The 23877-nt window shown below is 43.0% G+C and overlaps 1 pseudogene; it reads right to left on the reverse strand.

The window, feature by feature from the left end:
• Window positions 9035-21159, reverse strand: RBMY2AP (RNA binding motif protein Y-linked family 2 member A, pseudogene; annotated as a pseudogene).

Below are 23877 nucleotides of genomic sequence, written 5' to 3' on the forward strand. Positions count from 1 at the left end.
AGCGGCCAATCATTGCGAAGGCGGTGGGCGTCAGCCAGTTACTGCAAAGGCTGTGGGCGTGTCCTGAGGCCGCTCCGCCCCAGCAGGCCTGCGGCTCCATCATCTCGCGGTAACTCTTCCGAGACCACGCTTGTGCCACGTGGCGGGCCGCGGTGGATTAAGGCACACGCGAACTGTGAGCCCTTTGCAATTGTGGGCATGGAAGACCTACACCCTAACTGGCATCCTGAGTGTGGCAAGACATTAACTAACCCACAGGGAACACATGAAACATCTCACTTCATTAGGCAGGCTAGGCTGATGGTACTGAATATTGCGGATCCAGAGGGGAGAGAGAGGGACCAGCGCTGCTGCTGGGGCGAGGGCAGCAGCGGTGGCTTGGGGGGATTGGGGCAGGGCGGGTGCGTGGGACTAAAGTCGACTGGTACGTTGCTGAGGTGGAATTCATCTGCACCAGAAGCTGAAACCCTGCAAGGATTCTGTCAGGTCTAGGCAAATACATACTCCGAGTTCCATGGTTCCTCCCTGAGGATGCTGTACTCACAGGGGCATTCCAAAGGACTTCTCATCCTGTGCCCTGGGCACACGGGAGGCCTACCGCCATGGTCGCCAATGCAGTGATCCGTGTGCACTGCTTTGCTGGTGCAGAGGCTCTCACAAGTGCAGTGGTGGCCGTGTGCCTGCTAGCGGGGCTCTGGAAGCCAGGGCCTTGGCATCCGACTCCAGGGCTGCCGTGCGCAGCTAACCCTGCTGGGTAGCTGAGCCCCAGTGTGAGTGTGACAGGCTAAGGGCCCTGTGGGGCCCCCCAGGAACCCTGTTCCACATAGGTGTAGGATGTGGTTCTCAGCAGGGCAAGGCCCGCAGGCCTCTCCTGGAGTTGCCCCCAGAGTTGACGGGTGCCGGGGGGGTGGGGTGGGAGGCACAGGCTTTGCTCTGTTGGAGCCTCAAGGAGGGCACCATGTTAAGGCTGGAGGCTGTGCAGGAGAGGATGGTCTGTGCACAGAGCAGGAAGACAACCCTGCGGGGAGAGGCATGCTAGTGGGGGATGACATCATTGCAGAGATGGAGGTGGTGGCCAAGGAGGAAGGCCAATGTGGAGCCACAGCAGGAGGACCTGCAGGCACAGCCTGGCCCTGGCCCCAGTACGCCCCGGCCAGCAACAGACTCGCTGGACGTCCTTCACTTGGAGCTCGGCTACGTGAATGTCCCAGGCCACAGGGCATCCCCGGCTTCTGGGCCAGAGCCATATCCTTGCAGCTGCCAATTCGGGATGGTTGGCAGCAGGGGATGGGCGCGGAGCTCCCGGGAGCGGAGGTGGGGGGAAACAAGGTGGTAGGCACTGGCGGTCAGCCAGGATTCAGGGCATGGGGGACAACAAGGGGAACTGAGAACAGGCTCATGCGGATAGGAGGGCAGCTTAATTGCATGTGCCCTGAGGGCATGTGGTAGGGACAGGAAGCCAAGCACAGCACTCACCAGGGAGAATAGCAGCGCCAAGGACCCATCATAACAGCAGAAAGTTGAAGGATACGATTCACCGGGAAAGTCCCTGGAGGAAGGGGAGTCTGCATGCCCATGCCAGCCACGGAACTTCCCTGCTCCCCTTGCCTGTGTCCAGCAAGCTTACCCCAGAAACACAAGGTGCTCAAGACTCGGTGTCACTGTGCACGGGGCTGCTGTCCTATGCAAGGCAGGCACTATCTCCCCAGACACAATTTCTTCCCTCTGCCAGCGCTGCACCCAAAGATGTTTAGGCCCTGAGTATATATAAGCTCCCTTGAAACCACTCGAGCTCCACGGGGAGAGCCAGGCACAGCCCCGTAGCTACTTCTACCCACAGCGGTTGCCTGGGGTGGACACGTGCACCCCTCAGGGAGACCAGGAGAAGGAGAGACGGCACACCCAGACAGCAGCAGAGCCTGTCCAGCACCCAGCACAGGAGGGCCTCCTGCAGCTCAGAAACGCCGAGCAAGTAGTCGCCTCACACAACAACACCCCGCCCCCAACCCCCTGCCCACTTCTTCAGTGCCAGCCCCTGGTCAGAGCAGGTTGTCTGGGCCTGCCTCCACCCACCACCAAGACCACCACAGCTCTGATGGTGCCCTCCACGCCAGACAGAGACAGAGGACCTGGAAGGGAAGGTGCCCTGCCCCACACTCTCCGTGCTCTTGCAAAGTTGCAGGGTGTTTCCTTGCACGCCCACCCAATCATCCGGCGGCTCCTTGACCAGAGGCAGATTGTGCGGCACACCGAGATGTTGGCCGGGATCACAAATGATGATGAAGTCCTGCTAAGCTACGTACGTGATGGATTTGCAGGTCGGGCTAAGGAGCCTGAGTCTTCGGGAGGGGTCTGGTGTCTGGGTCAGGTTGAGGTACCCCTGGGACCCGGGGGTGTCTCAATGAGAGAGTTGGGAAGGAGAAACACATGCTTCACCCCAGCTAACAGGTCACCTCACCCCAGCTACATGAAATGCTCCTTTGAGTACGTCCTCTTTCTCCTTCTTGGCCAGGTAAGGGGAGGAAAGCAACTCTTCCGGGTACCGGCAGCAGGATGAAGTTTTCCTTTTATCACAGTCTCTACTTCCACAATGAAGTGATCATTCAGGAGTACTGCCTTGGCATCCTCGGTAAGGAGCGCCTCCCAGCATGGTAGGGGAGCTGGTGTGTGGGAGGGTAGGTCTGGCATGAACCTTCCTGACTCCTCTCTCTGCAGGATACGGGATGTCTCATTCCACTGCAGTCTAGTGGTTGTGGGATCATGAAGGTCAAGCCTCCAGCTGCAGGCCGTACAGCTCCTACCTGACCTTCTTCAGCTGGTTGGCTGACCATGACTGCCCAGGTTCTGGCAGGATTGCTGAGGTGAGCGCCAGGTAGGGCATCATGGGAAAGGATCTTGCTGGTCATTCCTTGGCCTCTGGGGAACTGGCTTTGAGCCATGACCTGAACTAACCTGTACCCACTTCTGCAGTCCCCTAGATCATCAGCCAGAGCCTGTAGCTCAATCCCCTGCAGTACTTCTCCAGGGAGGGAGGCCATTAGAGAGTGAACAGAGAGGAGGCCAGGTGAGCAGTCTGGGGCTGGGGACTGAGAGGCGGTTGATTCCTGGAGTTGTGCCCCACATGGAGAAACCAAGCCTCAGGGAGGTGACTGCAGTGAGCAATCCCACGCCATCCATGGGCTGGCGGAGAAATGGCCATCAAAGAACTGTAACACCCACATTTTAGGATTGGGGCACCTTCAGCCGCCTAAGAGGAATAAGTGTCTAAGGTCAGTGGGTGAGAAGCAAGGCTCAAGTGGTAGCTGTCTCATCATCCCTCACCGGCTGAGGCCTGAGGCCGGCTACCACTTGGGGCTCAGTTTGGGCTCAACCAGGGCCCTCTCACCCTCCACGCAGATATCCTCCCAAGGCCCCTCTCTATGTCTTCCCTGATGGGCTGTCCCACGCCCATCATTTTTTGTTACAATGATCCCAGGCTTCCCTGAGATGCTTTCTGCCCTCTGCCATCATCACCCACACTTCCCTGCCCCACCCTGCCCCACCAGACAAGAGAGGCCGCTACACAGGGAATCTGGAGAACCACACTGGGCTCACAGGGGAGGAAATGTGAAGAGATTGCAAAATGGATGAGCCCTTCATTGTGTGTCCAGGGAGGGAACCTGGCTGGGAATTAAGGCCCACCTGAGTAGTGGTGTGGACACCCAGTGTTACTTATCATGATGAAGACCTGCTTTGTCACATCCCCTAATATTAATATGGAAGTTATTTTCTTGGAACAGTGAAACAATGTGTACAAAGAAATAGTGTTTGTTCAGATTTGTGTAGAAATACTGCAGACGCGTCCCTTTTCCATTACAATTCTTATGTGAGACTTGAAGTGTTTATTGAGTTGTAAGATACATTTTGATGGTTCTGCCCCCAGCAAATTTTACGATCATGTTTGCACTGTAGAGACATGGAATCCAGAAAAGTTTTGAGTGACTTTCAGCTTCTTGTAGAGTACTTACTTGTAAATTTTGAATTTTTTTCCGTATAGTTCTCTTCAGTTTATTATTTTAATTTTATGTGCAAGGTGATTCATTTGTTTTATTTGCCTTTTGTGGAAACTTTGTTTTAATGTACTTTCTGTTTTCCGTTAGATATGCGAGTTGAACTGTGAGTACAAAATTTTTATTTTCATTTTTTAGTTGTTTTGGGGTGTCTGTGTGTGTTTTGAGGAGTACTGCTCTGTCACCCAGGCTGGAGTGAAGTGGCAGGATCTCGGCTCAACCTCAACCTCCGCCTCCCAGCTTCAAGCAATTCCCCTGCCTCGGCCTTCTGAGGAGTTGGGATTACTGGTGCATGCCACCATGTGCAGCTAATTTTTGTATTTTTAGTCAAGACTGGGTTTCACCATATTTGCCAGGCTGGTCTCCGACTCCTCACCTCAACTGATCCACCCACTTTTGCCTGCCAAACTGCCAGGCTTACAGCGTGAGCCACCATGCCCAGCCTCATTTATTTGTTTCTGTATTAGAACCCTTCTTGTATACTCTTCATGTACACACATTTTAGAGTGAATGGAAGAGTGTATTTTATTTATTTAGTCAATAGTAGAATTTTAAACGCAATGTTTTTATTCAGTAAATACAGTATTGTGAATAGGTTAAACCTAGTATAGTATTGTCATTCTCTCTTTCATAAATTTTTCAAGAACGCTGATACTGTTTCCGTCCCCCCGCCTCCGAGGAGAACACGCAGATAGGTCCAAAAAATTGTGGAAGTGAGTGGGTATGAAAATATAATTTGAAGGCCGGACGGGGTGTTTCACGCCTGCAATCCCCACACTTTCGGAGGCCAAGGCTGGTGGATTACCAGACGTCAGAAGTTCAAGACCAGCGGGGTCAACATGGTGAAACCCCACCTCTACTAAATATTCGAAAATTAGCTGGGCATGGTGGCAGGTTCCTGTAATCCTAGCTATTTGGGAGGCTGAGGCAGGAGAATCGGTTGAACCCAAGAGGCGGTGGTTGCAGTGAGCCAAGATCACGCCACTGCACTACAGCCTGGGTCACAAGACCAAAGCTTTGTCTCCACCACCCCACACCCCCCAAGAAAGCATTATTTTGGGAAAAACCCATCCAGCACTTGTAAAAATAAGGAATTATTAGGCATGGCCACTGTAGTGGTCTGAAACACACTTTGAAATTCTTCTCAAACCCATTTGAAAATATTCCTGATGGAACTGAACACAGTACTTGCTTCTAATGTATAGAAAACACTGCAAGCAGTTTCTGGATACTGGACCACCTCTGGCCTAGTTTAGAGACGGTGACACGGCTCTGCCTAGGTCTCCTGCTCTCATGGGGACAAACCCCTTAGGAGCCCCCGACCAGTACATCACGCAGTCTAACACCCTGATAACACTATGCAGAAGGGACATCCAATGGAGAGACTCAAAGAAACAGAACAAGATGTCTGAGCATCTCAGCAGTCCAGCCCCTGCTATTTGAGTCACGCTAGCCATGGCACCAGGGAGATGAGAAGACACCCGCCAATGTCCCCATCTTTGGCCATCACTAGATTGCATCCTCCTGAGTGCCCCTGAACCACATTCATTTGGCTGAGAGACTGAGGGCGATTGCAGAGACTGACAGTTAGTAAATTATAATTATGGTTTTAAGCCACTAAGTTTTAGATAATTCTGAAAAGCACTTTAGACTCCTAGAAAAACTGTGTCGTCTACTGACTTCATTGCAGAGAGCTGTAAAGGCCAACATCATGAATGCTAATACCCTGGAAAAGTCAAATCATCGAGACTCTTCTAAGCACAACAGATCTTTAATGTCCCTTCGCTATGGCTGGAGAATAATCTAACATGTATCTGATAGAGTTGTTGGAAAGCCTCTGTTCACATCTCTCAGCCTGGTATGGGTCAACTCTGGTCTGCTTTAATTCTAGGCAACTGCAGCAGTTCACCTTCCATTTTAGGTCGTGGCCTACACTGATTTTTTGATCACTGACTGTGTCTTTGTCTGTGTGTGTATGTTTTGTGTGTTATCATATTTTATCTGAGGAGGCTAAATAATAGTACTATAGTTTTGTAAACAGAAAACATTCCAGGAAGTCAGTATTGCTTATAAACTGAGCTTTAAAATAGATATGAAATTAGACATGGCAAGATGCCATGTCTACTATCATACCAAAGCTAGCCAAGCTTGGTGGCCCATGGATATTATCCCAGCTACTTGGAAGGCTGATGCAGGAGAATCCATTGAATCCTGGTGATGGAGTTTGCAGTAAAGTGAGATCACACCACTGTGCTCCAGCCTGGGCAGCACAGCGAGACTCTGTCTCAGAAATAAAAAGAGAATAAAATAATAAAATAGGAGAGATTACTGAAGAGACAAATGCATAAAACTGGGTGGGCATTGTGGCTCACGCCTGGATCCCAGCATTCTCAGAGGATGAGGTGGGTGGATCACTAGAGGACAAGAGTTCAAGACCAGCCCGAGCAAATATTGTGAAACCTGGTCTCTACTGAAAATAGAAATACACACACACACACACATACACACACACACACACACAGGATTGGTGTCATATGACTGCAGTTGCAGTTGCTTAGGAGGGTGTGACTGGACAATTGCTTGAACCCGTGATAAGGAGGGAGCAGTGAGCTGAGATCACGCCACTGCACTCCAGCCTAGGTGACAGGGCAGGATTCTTTCTTAAAAAAAAAAAAATCAGTGAGAGAAAAAGATACAGAGACAAAAAGAAAGAAAGACAGGAAGGAAGAAAGGAAGGGAGGGAAGGAGGAAGGGAATGAAAATTTGTACCTAACAGTTGTAGATACTTTTGGCATACATGTGATATTTTGATACAAGTAATGTGAACTGGTAAGCGAGGGATCAAAGAGGGGATGGGGGTGGGTTAAATTATACTTGCTTAGAAGGAATAATATCTAGTGTTCAGTGGCACAGGATGACTACACTTAATAATGATTTATTGTACATCTCAAAATAATTAATAGAGCGAAGGTGGAATGTCGCTGATACCAAGAAAAGATACGCCAGACTCAGTGAGGTGGAATGTCGCTCATAATGAGAAAAGATATGCCAGACTCAGTGGCTCACGGCTATAATCACAACACTTTGGGAAGCCAGGGAAGGAGGATTATTTCGGTCTGGGAGATTGAGACCAGCCTGAACAATATATCCAAAGCATTGTCCCTACCACACACACACAAACACAAAAGTTGGGCACAGTGATGTGTGTCTGTAATCCCAACTACTTGGGAGGCTGAAATGGAAGGCTTGTGCATTTGAACCCAGGAGTTCGAGGCTGCAGTGAGCCTTGACGGTGCCACTGCAGTCCAGGCTGGACAACAGAGGGAGACCCTGTGTCTAAAAAAGCAAAAAGAAAGAATAAATGCTTGAAATGAAGGATACCTTATTTATTATTTACATATTTGTAGATTTATATAATTATTTTTGATTTGGAGTCTCGCTCTGTCACCCAGGCTAGAGTACATAGTGCAATATTGGCTCACTGCAGCCTCAGGCTCCCAGGTTCAAACAATTCTCCTGCCTGAGCCCCCCAATTAACTGTAACATACTACAGGTGTGCACCACCATGCCCAGCAAATTTTCATATTTTTGCTAGAGATGGGGTTTCATGGTATTGGTCAGGCTGGTCTGGAACTCCCGACCTAAAGTGATCAGCAAGCCTTGGCCTCAAAGTGCTGGAATTAAAAACCTGAGCCGTCACACCTGGGCAGTAAGATACATAAGACTAGGGAATTTTATTTTTTCACTTCATCCTCACAATCCTACATTGTAGGTGAATGAAAACACAACTTCATAACACAAATAACTCACTTGAAAATCCAAGTTGGTAACTTCTCCCTTTAAAATTATTTGCACCCTTACCTATAGAAATTGAAGATGTTGTCAAAATTTTATCAAGAAAATATTTCCTCATTGCAGATTAGTCTGTTAATTGTAAGAATTATGGATTGTAAAACTTCTGGAACTTCATGTATTTCATTTCTTTAGGTTGTACAATGTATAATCAGAAAAATTAATTGGTTTAGTTATTTAAGTCCAAATCTTTTTATTTTTACCATTTGATGATTTATTAAACCTTTAAGCAATCCCCTGTCTGAAATGTTATGCTGCTGTTTTGTTTTATACACTTCACTTCCCAAAAGTATGAGGTTGAAAGTGCTTCCATTCATATAACCAATTAAGTCTGATAGGCTGAGAGTGGTGGCTCATGCCTGTAATCCTAGAACTTTGGCAGTCTGAGGAGGGTGGATCAGGATTTTAAGAACAGGCTGGCAAGTGTGGTGGAACGCTGTCTATACTAAAAATACAAAAAATTAGCCAGCTGTAGTGCACACTTATCTAATACCAGTTACTCAAGATGCTGAGGCAGGACAATAGATTGGACCCAGAAGGTGGAGGTTGTAGTAAGCCAAGATGGAGCCACTGCACCCCTGCTTGGGTGACAAAGCTACATCCCATCTCAAAACAAACAAACAAACAAACAAAAAACTGATAAAATTCCAACCACTCTAGATTATTCCTATTTGTAACAACTTATTACTACACCATGACTTACAACAACCATTGTCAAAACTTTTAAGAAAAAAATAACATGACTACCTCCCAAGACCAAACACTTACTTTCCACCATTTAAACTAGGAAAATTTAATTTCATTATGCTATGCACTTGAGAAACTTAGCTGGTTCACTTTTCATTTAGGTAAAAAAAAGTTTTCATTAGCATTATCCCTCTTCAGTCACAGAATGCTTCAAGTAGAATGTTCTGGATGTCTTAAATTTTAATATCAACCACATCTAATTATTTCCTTTGACCTGTACTATTCCTCTAAAGGATAAACATATGGTGAGGCAGAGAGTCTTGTAGTCTTTCTGAAGACTACTCAAACATTGTAAGCTTGTAAGTTTTTAAAGAGAAACAGCCTATTTAGAAAACTTGTGCAGCTTGCAAGGGAGACATAACATATGCCTAATTTTGTATCTATTTATGTTCAAAGAAATAAAGGAAAATGTTCAACAAACAATGCAATTTACTCTCTTATTGAATTTGCTTTTAAGCATGTGCAGCTGAGCAAAAACATTAGGCATTTTGCATTACATGTAAAATTTTATTCTGAAAATTTTAATGTAGATATTACATCTAAACAGATAGTTTTCAAATAGCATTAGCTAGTATGAAATTACTTGGAAATAAAATTCCCTTTATTTATTGGAAATAAAATTCCTTTGAATACCTCAAAAAATTCATGGAGGAAGTTAGTATCTACCTCTCTCCACAAAACATACATGTTTCTTTTAGTAAGACGCAGGTAACAATGCAGAAATAACAGGTCAATTTTCGATTTGCAAACAAGGTTTAGTATGCAATAACTATTATTTGAATACTTGCTTTCATATCTGCTTCAGCCTCTTTTGTCAGATCCACCTTCCCCACCATCTCCTGTAGATGACAAATATCTTGAGCTACCACATGTTTCACAAGGAGCAGGGTGTACCCTATCCAGAGAAGGTAGATTGCTTTGGTCTTTTCTGTCAACGTGCCCACAATCACGGGAATAAAAATCACCACAGCTCCTTGAGTAACTCTCCCGACTTATGCCATATCTATCTCATTTATTGCTATAATCATGGTGGCTGCTTCCACCATAAGACAACAGAGGCACTCCTGCAGATGGTGCACCATGAGAGGTCCCTGCAGGGGACCCTGCAGGGTTGATAAAATAATATGTTGGACTATATTTAAACATTATTACTGCTATCACTAAAGCATGATTAAGTTAAAGTACTATTTGGAAATATCTACTTTCCTCTGTCTTTGTCAGGATATTAATTATGCCTGCAATAATCAGAAGGTTTTATCAATAAGAAGTGTAAGAGAAGTTATTTTGAAGCTTAACAAATTTAATTCTAAAGTAAAAGTTGAGTCACATTTTCTGAACGTGAACTGAAGTTCTCACCTTCATATCATTCCCTATGCTTTCTTCTGTTAAGAATACTCAATATTTAGACATGTTATATTTGTCCCTCGTAATTTTCCTTAGAATTTCATTAAAATAACGATCTGGTCTATTAAACACAATTCTATAATTTACAAATCCATCCCGGACCCTTACCCTATCTCTGAAATGCATCTCTATAAGAACTTCCACTTGGACGTTCAGAATGATCTCTAACATCACCTCACCACAGCCATCACAATCACTAAATTGAAAAAAAAAATTCTTAATGTCAGAATGAACCATTTAAGAATTCTATTTGACAAATCCAGGAAATGTTGTAATACCTATATCCTCTAGAGAAATGTTCATCCCAACTAGAATGACCATAATCATGGTATGCATAGTCTCTAGACAGTGGAGCATAATCCCTAGATTCTCGGGAAAGTGGATGATTTCTGTGGGCATAAGTTTAAACAACAAATATTAAATTTTCAACTTCTAGTATCCAAAACATAACTAACTTACAACTTAAACAAAATTAAAAGGCCAAACATCTAAACAGATATTTCTCCAAATAAAATAGGCAAATGCCCAAAAAGCACATGGAACAGATACTCATAATCGGTGATTCAGAAAAAGCATTTCAAATCCAAAGTGAGATACCATACTTCCCACACACACTAGAATGGCAATAAAAAGCAGGAAATAGCAAGTGTTTGAGAGGGTGAAGATAAATTGGAACCTTGATACAATGCTAGTTGGAAGGGAAAATGATGCAGCTGCTATGGAGACATGTGGTGTTTCCTCAAGAAAACAAACATAATTATTACAGAACCAAGCAATTCCATTTATATATACACCCAGAATTGAATAAGTGTACTCAAACAAATACTGGAGCATAGAAATACTGTGGTAGAAACAACCCAAATAAAATAATGGGTTAACCGCTTGTGGAAGGATTTAAGTGCTATGATGTAAATGAAACTTCGGGACATGATACAAAAGGAAAGGAGACAGATACAAAAAGTCATGTAGTGTATAAGCCCATTAACATTAAATGCCCACAACATGTAAGTTCAGAGGCAGAGCAAAGACTGATGTTTGCCAGTAGCTGAGGGAAGGAAGAAAATGAAAGGGACTGCTTAACTGGTAGCTGGAGTTTTAGTTTGTAGTCATGAAAATGTTTTGGAACTTGATGGAGTTAGCTGCTGCACAACACAGGATGTATTTAATGCCACCTGTTTACCTTATAATATTTAATTTTATTATGTGAATTTCATCACCATAACAAAAAAAATCAACTTCTAAAAAATATTTTCTTTACCTTTCCTTAATTGCATAACCATCATCTCTTGGTGACATACGGTCATTTCTCCAGGAAGAGATTGGCTCTCTGCATGGAGGACCTCCATAATTCTCTCTTCCACGTGATATGGGACCTTTAATATTAAAATGATGAAACAGGGAAAGAACAGCAAATCCGAAATACTATTTTCTCTTCTCTCAAACAACTTTTTAAAATTATTTCTTCTATGACTCCACTATGACTCCATTTTTCATTCCCTAAATTACTAGAAAGTCATGACACTGTGAATATTTCTTATGGCTTTGGATAATCCCATGGCTACTGCAAGGCCAGTTCTTCTAACAGAGCTGAAGACAGACATTAATTCTTAGGTAAAAGTTCATCTGTAATGGTAAATAACTAGTTAGTTATTGTTTTTCCTTTCATATGAATTACTGATGACTACCAATGATACAGGGAAGACATGTAAAAGCACCAAACTCTTCACAGATTTTTAAGTTTACATCCATTGTCCCTTCTCAGCTGAAGAAGGTAAATTTTCCTATGTTGTTCAATCCACCTCACACGCACAAATGATGCTACCTTTGAATGATTGGATGCTAAATTTTTACATAAAAGGTCTTCTTTATCTCTAAGTGGTTGGCTCTACCTTAAATGTTGACAAATTGAAATATACTAGTGAAAACTTTCTAATGATGGCCAAGATTTACTTTTACTGCAATAAGCAATCCTGTTAAAGGGGTCATTACGACATTGTTGCTATTTCAAAATAGAAAATGTTCTCCTTTAATATACTCTTTATGTGCTGTTCCTTAGAGGTCAGTCTTTCACCTATGATATGTTCACTGGCTAATTTTCCAATGGAAATGTGTTGGCTTATGTATGCTGAAGTCAATAAATATCTAATTTCACCGATACTCTACATATGAAATGTAAAATTGAAAACAGCAGTTTTCAATTTCCTCCATATTGGGGTGGAGGACTAAGTAAGAATTTTAATTTGTTCTGCCTAAACTTCTTTGCTAAGAACTTTTATTTACTGTCTTGCTTTCTTCTGTTCTGTCTGCAATCTTAACAATTCTCCTTCTCAAAAATATTACTTCTATTCAATCCTACCGCTCACCTCAGGTTGCTTAGTTCTAAATTCTCTCCTCAAATAATTTCCAGTCTTACGCTAAGGATCTTGTGTTAATGTTTAAACATCCCGGTAAAATCTTAATTATTGATTTACATGACCTTATATTTCACATCTCTGCACTTCTATGATATCCACTTAATTTAAGAATATTGGACTCCTTCATGTCTACCTTTCAAGACTTGATTTTATTTTTAAATAATAGGTAAGCCCAGTGACTCCTTTTCTGCTAAATGCTCTTGTAGTTCTTTTGAATCTTCATAGAAGCAGTAAGAATGCCTTGCACATAAACATTATTGAGGTCTCAGAAGCTGGATGGTCAGGCTCAGCAGCTCACAGTGCGAGTCAGTGTGGAAGGCAGAGACAGCTGGACTGCTTGAGCCGCTGGCTTTTATGTCAGTTTTGACAATGTAGTGACATCCTCTGTCTACAAAAATACAGGAAAAAAAAATTAGCTAGGTGTGGTGGTGCATGCCTGTAGTTGCAGCAACTCAGGAGGCTGAAACAGGATAATTGTTTGAGCCCAGGATTTTGAGGCTGTAGTAAGCCATCATTTCACCAATGCACTCTGACCTGGTAAGAGCAAGACTCCAACCCAATAAAGAAACTGAACAAGCAATTTTTCAATTGGCTTGCCAGGGGACCACTACCAGGGGACCTAGGAAATGGAAGAATTCATTAGAAGAAGAAGCCTATCATCAAAGAATACTGCTAGGGACTTTTAGAAAAATTAAGGGGAATTATCTAGCAAACACAGGATTAAGAGGAATGTTGGCCTCACTCTAATCACTTCTTTCAACTGCAGTGAGAAGCTCGAGTATTTCTTCAACATAAATCTGAGTGTACCTAGTGAGATAGAAAGTATAATAAAAGCTATTGATCAGTAATTATGCCCAATGATGTGTCACTTCTGTTTTGTTCAATGAACTTAAATTTAAGAATCCAGTTAAAATAGCTCATTTTTAGTCATACAAAAAATATGGTCTTTTATCAGGTAGCATTTACCTTGGCCTCCCATCCAACTATTGCTTCTTGCCATAGCAGAAGGAGCAGATGTTTTAGGAGGAGGACCTCCACTTCGTGAAGATGGACCTCTTTTAATTGGAATGGCTCCCCTAGAAGAACTCGTGTTGAGATCAAGAGCGTATCCACCATCATCTGTATTTCAAACAAAATCATTTTAGTTAACTAGCATCACTGTTTCTTGAATGGCTAAGTTTTGTTGTTTTTCTACATATTATAATGTTACAAATTCACATTTGTCTAAACTAATAAAATTAACATTTCTATATGAAATTAGTACAATTCAAGCAATAAAAGTCTGTTTAGAAAATCTAGAAGGAAACTCAAGAATTATAATATATTGGTGTGAGAGAGAGATGTGGGAAAAATGGGGAGTGAACAGGGAGCAGAAATCTATCAGTAAAATATCTAAGTATAATATACATAAAGAAAAAATATTAAAAAATGATAAATGACTGTTTATATCATTCTATTATGAGGAAAAATTTTCAAAGCATATCAAAAAGATAAACTAAATTCCATTCAAAGAAACTCAAATATTTGCAATATCAAAAGGTGACACATCAGGAAAATATATTATCTCTAAAATTTGTTAACATAGTATAGAATTCTTACAATTTCCTTGTGAAACACTAATTTTCAGATTAGACTATGCTAAATTTTAATAATCTTTAAGAATTGCTTATTAAATAATATAAAAATATTTATATATCTACAAATCTGTAGATATATGCCAATTACTAGGTGGTGTTACAGGTTAGAATACGCACATTCTCATACATGGCAGAGTATTATTGAATCTCACCCTCAAGATCAGTGGAGACAAAATTACCATGAAGCTATGCATCGTAAAATGCAGCAAACACTGCAATTTCAACTTTAAAAACACATCTCCAATTAATTACACATCTGGTCATTAAAACACAAAATTAAAGATCGATTTTTGAAGGTTGGTTAATAGATAATATGTTAACCAATAGGTTGATTGATTGATTGATTGATTGAGATGGACTCTTGCCCTATTGCCCAGGTGGGAGTACAATGGCATTATGTCAGCTCACTGCAGCTTCTCCCTCCCAGGTTCCAGTGATTCTCCTGCCTCAGCCTCCCGAGTAGCTAAGATTAGAAGTATGTGCCACCATGCCAAGCTAATTTTTTGTATTTTTAGGACAGACAGTTTGCACCATGGTTGCCAGGCTGGTCTGGAACTCCTGACCTCCTGGTCCACCCACCCCATACTCCCCAAGTGCTGAGATGACAGGCGTGACCCACCTCGCCCACCCCCATCCAATATATATATATATTTTTAAATACATAGTTTGTTTTTCTTTTTTATGTAGAAATTGACCCCTCATTTCTACTGTGTAAATCACTCATAAATACCATTTTCAGTGACTCACCTTCCAGCAAGAAAGATACATACATATCTGTGAAGCAGTGGTGTTTTGTCCTTTCCAGAGTCATAGACTTTTTTTAGAAATTAAAGTTCTACGTTTCTTAAATTGAAAATGCTTTATGGCAGGCCAATGTACAAACTCTCCATATGAAAATTACAAAGCAATAGATTTGCATACATGTTTGCACATGTATACACAAAAAAAAACAAATATTGGAAAATCAATCCTAAGTACTGAATTACTTTTTTTCCTGTTGGAAAGTTTTAAATATTCCATTGTATTTTGATAATACAACTGATATGAAGTTCTGGGCCCCAAAGTAGAAAACTCTATGAAGTATAGTTAATATAAATGAGTTCTTCAGAAAACCTGTTGAGTACAGGCAATCAGCATTCATAAACTCAATTCAGTTTGAAATTTGTGTTATTTCAATGCAAACTTATTACAATTTTAAAACAAATTTTAGATATTAGTGCAATCATTCTTATAATACACCTTTAGTACTTAGAAATAATTTTGCTTCTTATCAATAAGTTAATTTTCTTATCAATAAGAAAATTACTTCTTACCAATGAGTAAATTTCCCAAAATAAATAAAATTGGGAAATTTTGATATCTTCAAACTTATTTTCTTTCAGTCCTATGGTTCCATCTTTATATTTTAGAACATTACCCAAGTGTCCTTCATGTGAGGGCAGCCACGGTCTTGTTCCTCCACTACTTCCTCTTGCAGATCTCAGACTTCCTGAAGGGCTTCTGTTTCTTGAAGAAGGTGGTGGTCTCCGCCTACCACCACTTGGAAAAGATGGTTTCTTTGCTTGTTCTACTTTTATTTCTTTTCCATCCAAAGACTAAAAGTATTAAGAGTACTATCAATAACGTTGGCAAGATTAAACCTAAGCACATTTTACAAACATTTCTACATCAACTATAGTTCAATTCTAGATATTTTCTCCCAAAGCAAATTTTTTTCCTCCTAAAATGAACACGTCTTTCACAATACCAAATTTGAGACATTAACTGAACACACGCCTTCCATTAAGGGATCAAACACAAATTCTATTATTCAAATTCCTTGAAAACTCCTCAATTATTAAAAAAAAAAACACCTCAAACAAAAAAGATTAACCCATCACACATTCTATGGAAGAATGTGGCATGTATTTTTTTTACAATATATCATCCACTTCATCTTTGTATTCGCATCACTGATTTAAAAGTTTCAGTGTCCCAAGGAAACTTGTGTCATTTAAAAAAATGAGGTTACTTATTCAAAATGATTAGTCACATTAGTCATATGAGTTGTTTCTTGTTTGATCTGCTAACACTTACGTAAAATATCCCCATATGATTTATAATTTTATATTTACTCTAGAAACGTTTCTGTAAATGTGATCCTTGTTTGATCTCATTAAGGTTTCTTGCCTTATTCATTTCTTATTTTGCCTTAGACGTGCCCCTAAAAAATGACTCTTAATATAGTACTTCATGTTGTTTCTCAGAAATGCTTAAATGTGCTAATTAATTTCACAGTAACATTTTTCAGTATGATCTTTTCTATAGGCCAAAGTAATTTTTGAAAACAGTTCAGATAATAAATAACTCTATTTTAAAATTACATGTTTTTTGTTATTTGGGGGAAGATCTTAAATCCCTTACAAGACCTCTTGCAGCCAAATTGCCAGTTGTTCCTACCTTGAAACTTCTGCTGTTATTTCTGGGCCCAAAATATTTTCCCCAGATTTGCGCATGGCTGCTTCCTTCCCAGTGTTTCAAAGTCAGTCAAAATTCCTTAAACTGTTAATTGCCCCTGATAACTCTAAGAACCTCCTTTGTTGGCCGTCTTAACATTTATGTGCATATAACTTCATATTTATGTTTACACAATAAAATATGTGAGATGAAGTAATTCAGAAATAACATTGGCTGGGCGCAGAGGCTCATGCCTGTAATCCTAACACTTTGGGAGGCCAAGGCGGGTGGATCATGAGGTGAAGAGATAGGGATCATCCTGGCCAACTGGGTGAAACCCAGTCTCTACTAAAACTGCAAAAATTAGCTGGGCGTGGTGGCATGTGCCTGTAGTCCCTGCTACTTGGGAGGCTGAGGCAGAGAATTGCTTGAACCCGGGAGGGGGAGGTAGCAGTGAGCCGAGATCGTCCCACTGCAATCCAGCCTGGCAACACTGTGAGACTCCGTCTTAAAAAACAAAAAAACCAAACAAGCAAAAAATCTATGCAAATTACCTGCTCTTGTGCTTGAAAACTAGGGGGGAAAAGGAAATTATCATAGATTACTATACGTAAGTAAAAATTATCTCCACAACTACCACAAATTTACTCTGGGTTTCTACCACAGCTTAAAATACTAATTTATAAGAGTGAATAAAAATGTACTTTCTGCTATGTGTCAGCAACTCTACTAGATGCAACAAAAATAAAAGCAACTAGGAAGCCTTAAATATGCACTGTAGACAATTTAACCATCAATAGATTAATACATGGTACAGTGAGTATAAAATATCTACGATTTGCAACGAGGAAGAAAATAGAAAATTGAAGTTGTTTTTGAAGGATGAATTGTTATTTCTGAGACATACATAGGAAAGAATAATTGTCAAAAAGTCCAAAAAATCATTTTAGGGGTACCATAAAGAGTGACAGGAGCTAAAAACAGATTTGGATAATGTTATAAAGCAGAAAAACAGATTTGGATAATGTTAGAAAGCAGAAAAGCTCTAAAGGGCCCAGAATGGAATGATCTTGACTAGAATGTAAAGGAATTCAATAGTTAATAGAATTACATAAAATTTTAAAGCTTTAGTAAACACACAATCCCTAGATTTAAGACTCAATTGGACAAGAGACCATTGGTTTGATCAAAACACGTTCTCAAACACATTGGGAAAATGAGCAATTAGGTATTCATGTTACATAAATCACTCTGGTGACAGGAAAAAAAACATCCTTAGGAGAAAAGAGCAAGGATGGGGCAAAAAATGCCAGTTACTTCTTCTGTTGTCCAACTTCAATGTTCTGATATTGTTTTCTATTTTCAAGTACTTAACACATCCTTAAATGTGAAGGTCTTATTTAAATGTACTTTCTCAAGAATATATTTGCAGAAAATGGGAGAGAATCTTTCCTTCCTGTGAGTCTGTCTAGATGTCTATCCACAGTTTGTATATGCTATAGAAGTATTTCCATGAATTGGAAGTAATTCCACTGATAGCATTTAAAAAATGTTAACTTAGTCCTTTCATTTAGAGGAGGGTTCCTTCTAGGTTTTAATGCTCTTGGAAACCTTTGAAAATCTATTTACACCCATATTGAAATACAAAAATAGAAAAAAAGTTACCATATATTAATTTATGTAATGTTAATTGCAGTACCCTTCCAAATACACTTGCATGTGTATGGCACAAAGAAGACGATGGCTAAAGCATTTCAGTCCATATGGCATTCTACTATCTTCAACACTTTAGTTATACTAAAAAGACCTAGAAATACTGTTAACTGAAAACCAGAATTAGTGTATTATTAATAAGGGACTCTTACCTTTCCATTCATATCTCTGGCAGCATTCTTAGCATCTGCAGCATTCTCAAAAATAATGACCACAAAATCTCTGGACTTACTGGTTCGACCTTTTATCAAAAGAACTAAGATACATAAAAACATTTTATATTTATAGAATGGACTCACCAAGGTACTAACCATCTGAAAGTTACATCAAACCAAAAAATAACTGCATTTCACATCACTACTATGATTCTTAATACTAAGTCACCCCTATAGTCAGCCTATTTTATTCCAGTTTGTTCCCTAACTCCATAACACATTTACTTTTCCTCATTTTCCTTTCTAAGCAGTAAGTGATTCTTACCCTTCACCTGCTGCTATGAGAATTTTCCAAATATCAGATAGATACTTCAAAATAAGAGTTTACAAATCACAAGGCGTTTTAATGTATGTATACAATGAACTTTGAAAAATACATACTTTAAAATACATACATAACCTACATATTTTAAATAACATATTGAAATATACATACGAAAATACACACAAACAGAGACACGCACACACACAAAACACATGGCTTTAAGAGTTACCTTCCAAAAGGGGACCATGTTTTGCAAATACTTCTTTAAGCACCTTTTCATTGGCTTCTCTATTGAGGCCACCAATGAAAAGCTTGCCATGACAATCTGCTTCTACCATTGTGCTGTAAATGGTTAAAAAAAATCTATATTAGATAAAAATAGACAAACTAAAAAGATAAAATTTTATTACATACTGTGTTGGAAATTCAAGTAAAAGTCCCTTCCAGAGGCTAACATCTTTTTAGTATTTCTTAGTTTAAATATGTAAAATTCATAACATACAGAGCAAAAGGGGCACTGACTTCATGGACAAATGCTGCATTTTATTATGTAGGTGACAAAATCTAATTTATAAAAATTAGATAAGAAAAGCTACTGTAATTTTCCTAAGTTGCAATATGAAGGATGCTCCCAGTTAAATAATTTTATTTGAAAACTATATATTTATGAGGTATGGTGTGATGTTTTGTGTATTTTTTTTTCTTGAGATGTATATCTCCTGTTGCTAAAGTGCACTGCTCACTACAGCCTCCTCCACCCAGACTCAACTGATCCTCCCACGCTTCAGCTTCCCAAGTAGCTGGCTGGGCAATTTTTGTGTGTGTGTGTTTTTTTTGTTTGTTTGTTTGTTTTTAAATAGACATGGTTTTCCTTATATTGCCCAAACTGGTCTCCAACTCCTGGGCTCAAGCAGTCCACTGGCCTGGGACTACCAAAGTGATGGGATTTCAAGTGTGAACCGCCACACCCAGCGTGATATTTGTATGAAAGATTAAATCAAGCTAATTAAAATGTTCTAGGGGGAGATCATTTTAAGTATTTTAGCATCTTTTAGTGATTTGAAATATATAATAGATCAAGGATCCCCAAACACTGGCCTTCACGCCATACCTGTCTGTGGCCTGAATGTAATGCCTGAGGATAACCTGTAATACCTGTCTGTGGAGAATGTAACGCCTGAGGATGACCTGAGGTGGCACAGTTTCATCCGGAAACCTCCCTAGCCGCCTCCCACCCCTCCTGCCCCACCCTGTCCCGGTGACAGCCCCACTGCCCCACCTGCCCCCTCTCACACCTCTTCCACCAGAAGCCCCGCCCCACCACGTGCCCCTCGGGGCCCTGCCGCCAGCCCGTACCCCTAAACGTGTCCATCTCACTGCCTTCTTCCGCTGGGCAACACTTGTCTGAGGAAACATTGTCTTCCACCAACCGGTCCCTGGTGCGAAAATGGCAATAGAGTAAAGGAGCCCATTATGTTATTCAGGCTGGTCTCCAACTCCTGACCTCAAGCCATCCTCCTACCTGCACTTCCCAAAATGCTAGGATTACAAAAGTAAGTCAGTGTGTGAAGATAGTAGAATAACAAGCAGATTTATTTTGTTTTCGTTTAAGTCTATCCAACTCCATTTAACTCCATTACACCCACTTATTCGGTTTAAATTACTTAGGTGCCACAGATACATGAAACATGTTTCAAATACTGTCATACAAGGAAGGAGACAATTACAGGCTTTACAGAGGCAAATTTAAACCGAGGTTATTTATGGCCCCAGACTTCTACATACACTAAAATACGTCAAAATTTGATAATTCCCGCCAAGCAAATCACATATGTGACATGTGCTGACTAAAGTACGGGTTTTTAATCGCAGTGGTTAAGTATGTTGCCTGTATTTTGAATTATGACGACATTCACAGAGAAAAACTGCTTTAATAAAAAGTGCCCATGAAAACAATGGCGCCTTAGCACCATCTCCCAGAACTTGCCCACATGTCAGATATGTCCGACAGTTAAAGGTAGAATCTTCAAGAAAAATCAAAGAGTTTAACAAAAATGAGTTTCTTTAGAGCACTAAGGAGTTCTCTCCCCACTGTCTCCTCCCTTAATTCAAGCCCACATATAGAAAGCCCATTCGCTTTTATAGACAAAATCCCAAACCTTTGCTTTCTAGTCTTGCCGAGAGACCAACCTGTCCAGAGAAACAGAAAATACAGGTGCTTTTCAGGAGGACAAACAGCCTCAGGGTCTCCCGTCACTCAGGTCGTATGCATCCGGCTTCGGGACACCACAGGGCCAACTGCAGGAAAGACCGCTGCAGCTGGCCTGAGTGGGAAGCCATGCCCGGAAATCACGCCTACCTCCAGCCAATCATTGGGAAGGCAGTGGGCATCTGCCAATTATTGCAAGAGCGGTAGGCGTCTCCTGAGGAGCCCCTCCCCTGGGTGGCCTGCAGCTCCATCCTCCCGCGGTAGTCCTCCTCTGAGAAGATGCTTGTGCAAGGTGGTGGTGGGTTCAGGCACACGCAGACTGTGAGCCCTTTGGAATTGTGACATGGAAGACCTATACCCTAACTGGCATCCTGAGTGCCGCAAGCCATTGACTCACAGGGAACACATGAAACATCTCACTTCATTAGGCAGGCTAGGCTGATGGTACTGAATATTGGAGATCCAGAGGCAAGAGAGAGGGTCTAGTCCTGCCTGCTGGGGCAAGGGCAGCGGCGGTGGTTTTCGGGGAGTGGGGCCGAGGGGGCATCTGGGAGGAAAGTCATCTGGCACCTTCCTGGGGTGGAATTCGTCAGCACCGGAATTCAAAACCCCGCAAGGACTCTTTCAGATCTAGGGAAATACAGACTCCAAGTTCCATGCATCCTCCCTAGGATGTTGCACTCCCAGGGGTATTCCAAAGGATCTCTTGTCCTATGCCCTGGGCACACCAGAGACAAGCTGCCGTGGTCGCCCATCCAATGACCTGTGTTCACTGCCTTGGTGGCGCAGAGGCTGCTGTGAGTGCAGCACCCACCGGCCGCGGTGCCTGCTAGCGGGGCTCTGGAAGTCCAGGGCCTCTGCCTATGGCTCCTGTATGCAGCTAACCATGCAGGGAATCTGGACCTCATGGTGACTGCGGCGGACTGTGGGCCCTGCGGGACTCCCCAGGAATCCTGGGTCCACGTAGGTGTGAGACCGTGATTCTCAGCTAGGCGAGGCCCCCGGGCCTCTCGAGGAGCGGCCCCCAGAGTCTAGGGGTGCCAGGGGCGTGGGGTGGGCGGCTCAGACCTTGGTCTGTGGGAGCCCTAGGAGGGCACCGTGTTAAGTCTGGAGGCTCTGCGGGAGAGGGCGGCCTGGGGGGAAGAGGCGTGCTCCTGGTAAATGACATCACGACAGAAGTGGAAGTGGTGGCCAAGGAAGAGGCCGACGTGGAGCAGCAGCAGGAGGACCACTGGGCAGAGCCGGGCCCTGGCCCCAGTATGCCCCGGCCCGCAACGGACTCGCTGGAGGTCCATCATTTGCAGCTGGGCTTTGTAAATGCCTCAAGCCACAGGGCATCCCCGGTTTCCGGGCCAGAGCCATGTCTTCGCAGCTGCTAATTCGGGATGGCTGGCAGCAGGGGGTGGGCGCCTAGGTCCCAGGAGCAGGGTTGCGGGGAGCCAGCTGGTAGGCACTGGAGGTCATCCAGGAGTCAGGGGATGAGGAACAATGAAGGGAGCAGAGGCCAGACTTCTGCAGATAGGAGGGCAGCTTGCTTGCAGTTGCCCTGAGAGCACGTAGAGTAGGGACAGGAAGCAAAGCACAGCACTCACAAGAGAGAATAGGAGCGCAAAGGACCCTTTATGCACTGCAGAAAGTCGAAGGGCACATTTCCCTGGGAAAGTCCCTGGAGGAAGGGGAGTCTCTATGCCCATGCCAGCCATGGAACTACCCCTATTCCCTGTGCCTGTGACCAGCAGGCTTACCCCAGAAACACATGGTGCTCAAGACTTGGGCCCAGATATGGACCAGGGTCACAAATGATGAAGTCCTGCTGAGCTACATGATGGATTTGCAGGTTAGGCTGCTGAGCCTGAATCTGTGGGAGTGGTCCAGTGCCTGGGTGAGGTTGCGGTCCCCCTGGGGCCCAGGGGTGTCTAAGCAGGACAGCTGAGAAGGGGAAACACATGCTTCACTCCAGCTAGCAGGCCACTTCAGTCCAGCTACATGAAATGGTCCTTTGAGTCCATCCTGTTTCTCCTTCTTGACCAGGTAGATGGAGGAACTCAGCCACCCCAGGTACTGGCATCAGGATGAAGGTTTCCTTTTGTAACAGCCTTTACTTCCACAATGAAGTGATCATTCAGGAGTACTGCGTTGGCATCCTTGGTAAGGAGTGCCTCCCAGCAAGGTAGGGGAGGTTGTGTGTGGGAGGGTATGTCTGGCATGAACCTTCCTGATTCCTATCCCTCCAAGAAACAGGGTGTCTCATTCCACTGCAGTCCAGTGGTTGTGGGATCATGAAGGTCAAGCCTCCAGCTGCAGGCAGTACACCTACATCTGACCTTCTTCAGCTGGTTGGTTGCCCCTGGCTACCCAGGTCCCGGCAGGATTGCTGAGATGGGTGCCACGGTGGGGCATCATGGGAAAAACCTTGCTGGTCATTCCTTGGCCTCTGGGGAACTGGCTTTGAGCCATGACCTGACCTGTCCTGTACCCCCTTCTTCAGTCCCCCAGATCATCAGCCAGGGCCTGTGGCTCAATCCCCTTCAGTACTTCCCGAGGGAGGGAGGCCATTAGAGAGGGAACAGAGAGGAGGTCAGGTTAGGAGAACCCAAGCTTCAGGGAAGAGACTGCAGTGAGCAATCCCAGGCCATCCATGGGCTGAAGGAGAAACGGACTTCAGGGAACTGTAACACTCACATTTCAGGATTAGGGCACCTTAAGTCACCTGAGAGGCATAAGTGTCTAAGGTCAGTGGGTGAGAAGCAAGTCTTAAGGGATAACTTGCTCAACATCTCTAGTTGGCTCCCTTCCCCACCCTGAGGCTGACTAACACTTGGGGCTCAGTTTGGGCTCAACCAGGGCCCTCTCACCCTCCATGCAGATGTCCCCCCAAGGCCTGTCTAGGTCTGCGTCCTCCCAGAATGGCTCTCCCAGGCCCATCATTTTCGGTT

The sequence above is a fragment of the Homo sapiens genome, chromosome Y (assembly GCF_000001405.40).
Source record: "Homo sapiens chromosome Y, GRCh38.p14 Primary Assembly".
Classification (NCBI taxonomy): Eukaryota; Metazoa; Chordata; class Mammalia; order Primates; family Hominidae; genus Homo; species Homo sapiens.